Source organism: Homo sapiens, chromosome 3 (assembly GCF_000001405.40).
Source record: "Homo sapiens chromosome 3, GRCh38.p14 Primary Assembly".
Classification (NCBI taxonomy): domain Eukaryota; kingdom Metazoa; phylum Chordata; class Mammalia; order Primates; family Hominidae; genus Homo; species Homo sapiens.
In genome coordinates, this window is record NC_000003.12 from 173,373,412 (window position 1) to 173,376,876 (window position 3,465).

Here is a 3,465-nt window from a genome sequence, read left to right on the forward strand (position 1 = left end):
TACTGGGATTGAGCAAGTAGCTCACTAGAGCCATCTTACATTTGTCCAGTGACCAAGAATGAAGTGGGTACGGGCCACAGTTAAACCGATAGTTTTTGAGGCTACCATCTTAGAAGTACAGGTGAGACTATTAGACAGCGTACAGAGAGTATGTTCCTGAATTTTTCTGCTGTTTTGGTTCGTTCTTTGAGGTAATTTTTTAGTAGTGAATTCTCCCTAGGCAATGGCAGGAAAATATTTGGCTCTTGAGGTTAACTTCCAGGGTGTGATCCCAGTTGCTATTGAGGGCATTTAACTTGCTTGGATAAAAATAGTCTTTAATTACAGTTCCTAATGGGTATTGGTTTGATTCTGAATTCTTACCTCATTATTTCGTGTAACCTCTAAACAATCTAGCAACTTAGGTAGTACAACCTGTTTTAATAATGAGGCTAAAATAACAGTTTCAGTGGCAGAGGCCTGCAAACATTCCTAACCTCTTCTCAACTGGGAAGAGCCACTGGGGAAGTATTCACTTGTGCCTGGAGTTATGCTCAAAGTCAAACTTAGGGAGAGTTTGGAGAAAAGTAAGCCTGTTGTCATGTCAGCAGTAGTACAACATTCTCTTCAGGGAATGATCAAGACTTTGACGGTTTAGGAATACACTTTTCTCAAAACACCCTAACAGAAGTTTTTTAAATGATAGAGAATATTATCTTTTTATAGTCATATTATAACATATGAATATGGATAAGTATGCAGGCTAATAAGAAGGTATATGGGCATTGTGTCATTGATATTAAATTAATAATAATTTTTTAAAGTAACAACAGTAAAAGCCAAAAGAATAATACGGCAACAGTGAAAAAGGTGATTTTCTGAAGAGTAAGAACACTACCAGTTGGCTAAATCTCTTTAGCCTTTTATTTAATAGCTAAGTTTAAGTTAAACCATTCAAGAAGTCATTCAATTTTATTCATCATTATATCTTTATTTAAAAGCAAAAGATCTAAAACCTGACATCACAGAGAAAAATCCAACATTTTGGCAGACGTATCTGGCATCATCTGCAATTTAGGGTTCCTTTTTATCTATCCATTTCTCAGCTGTAATAAGTCTTCTTCCACTGTGCTCTGGGAGCAATAGTTTGCTACATGCTCCTCCAGGGGCTAAAGACTTCTGTTTTATAAGGGCTAGGGTCTAGCTGGCTTCCTGGTTTTTCTTTGGAAAGGAGCTTTTCCTTCCTCCAGGCATGCACCAGTGAGAGAAGCTTTCTGTAATCTCCATGCCTGCCATCTTTGTTATTAGTATGCATTGGAAGGAAGCCTGTAGAGAAGAGATAGTGAGTGGGTGTGGATTCCACTTACCTCTGTTGCTCTGAGGGATTCTATTTTCTTACCCAAGCTTAAACTAAGCCTTTAGAAATTTGTTCACATTCCAGCTGGATTCCTCTTACTTGTTCATGTGTCCCTGACATCCATCTTTTCCTTACATGCTCTAACACAGGTGAAGCATGCTTATGTCATGTCTTGACTTGGATTTCAGGCTACTTAGCTCTCTGATGGGTTCAAGAGAAGTTATGATTTTGCAGTTTATCTGGCTTTTTCTTGTCCTCAGAGCAGTAGTAACACTCTTTACATATTTCTGCACCCTAGGCAGAAGCACCTGGATCCATAACTTCTCTTAATATTTAACATTTACCACCTTGTCCTTTCCCTGCTATGTTTTGAACGAAGTCCTCAATACTATATTTGTCTTTATCCAGTCTGCATTTTTTACTTTTTTAGTGATTTTTTTTAGTAATTACAGCTTTCTTCCAGGATTACTTATTTTCTGTATTTTTTCTGTTCTTAATTTATATTTGGTTGTTTTTGGTTTCTCAGTTTTTATTTTTTAAGTGTGCTATTTATTCCTCTATCTTTTTGACAACACTAAATATACTTAGGTTAAAGTAATTTTTAGATTGTTCTATTATTTTCAATTCACTGGGAGTGAATTTATCTCTAGGATTATATTATTTATTATTTGATTTTCCTCAATAATAGCTTATCACTTATGCTTTCTTTCTAGCCTTTTCTAAATAGTTAATTTATCTCTCTCTCTCTCTCTCTGTACCCATGATCTCTCTGCCACACATGTGGCAACATTGCATATCTCACCTCCATGCCAGTGGGTGGCCTGACCCATTTCCAGGTTATACAGTGGTCTCTTACCCTGCCCACTGAGCAGACCTAGGCAGAGGTCAGCGTTTTTATCAGTCCTAGTCCCTGATGTCACAATGGAGCCTGATTCTGGTTTTTGCTGTGTGTTGGATGCTTTTCATCTCTTTTATTTGTAGCAGTTGACTTCCTTGTGGCTTTTTACTTTCTTTCAGACCTAGAAGCCAGCAAGGCCTGTAGCTTTAACCTTTCTTAACACTGTGTGTTTCTCTTCTATTTTGGGCCAATGAAAATGTTTGTCTTTGAACATAATGACTGTATGACGGTTCTTCAGAGAAACAGAAACAAAGCATGTATATCTTGAATAGCATAAATAAAATATTTATTGTAAGGGATTGTGTCATGCAATTGTGGACACTTAAAGTCCAAGATCTACAATTGGCAAGTCTACCCAAAAGAACCAATTGTAAAGTTCCAATTCAAATCTGAAGGCCTGAGAACCAGGATAACTAATGGTGTAAGCCCCACATCCAAGTTCAAATGCTGGAGAAGACTAAAGTCTCAGCTCAAAGACAGTGGGAAGAGAAACAGAATGCTCTGTTCTCCCACCTTTTTGTTCCATTTAGGTCTTTAATGAATTGGATGAGACCTACCCACATTGAGGGGAGCAATGTTCTTCACTTACTCTACAGAATCAAATGTTGATCTCACCGAGAAACACTCTCACAGGCACACCCGGTATGATGTATAGCCAAATATCTGGGGCACCCTGTGGCCCAGTCAAATTGACTTATAAAGTTCACCATCATAACTACACCGTTTCATATCATTTTTTAAAAGTTATTGATAAAAGTTTGGTGTGAGAAGAGCACTTAATCATTGAACTTACACTGCCATTTTGGGAATCCAGAACAAATAAATGTTATTGCTTTATTTAGTAATAAACTTGGATAAATGTACATAGTAAATAATGTATGGTTAATAATGTATAGAAATTTATTAAAAAGGTAATGAGTTTATATATTATACATTGCTATATATCCTAGCTCCAGAAATTACTATCTATGTGGTAGTTTGTGAATTCCCAAATAATGTCAATTTTTTTACACTCAGTGTCTGTTTCCTCAGCTGTGCAGTGGAGATAGTAAAGAATACCTATTTAAAAGGATTATTGTGAAGATCATGTAAGGAGCTTAGATTGGTGTCTGACACATTGAAAGCTCTTGATAGCTGTTGTCTATTATTGTTACTATTATTATTATCAGTGTTTGTGTATGTATGCAAAATTAAATGGAATATATGCCTATCTTTGCATTCAGTTACTTAT

General features: G+C 36.4%; 1 long non-coding RNA gene across 1 annotated transcript; it reads right to left on the reverse strand.

The window, feature by feature from the left end:
* Window positions 1–949: 949 nt before the first annotated feature.
* LOC124909458 (uncharacterized) lies at window positions 950–1,580 on the reverse strand. The gene is made up of 2 exons (XR_007096172.1): window positions 1,436–1,580; window positions 950–1,305 (listed from the first exon to the last, which is right to left on the reverse strand). It is a non-coding gene; the product is annotated as an uncharacterized LOC124909458 (long non-coding RNA).
* Window positions 1,581–3,465: the final 1,885 nt, after the last annotated feature.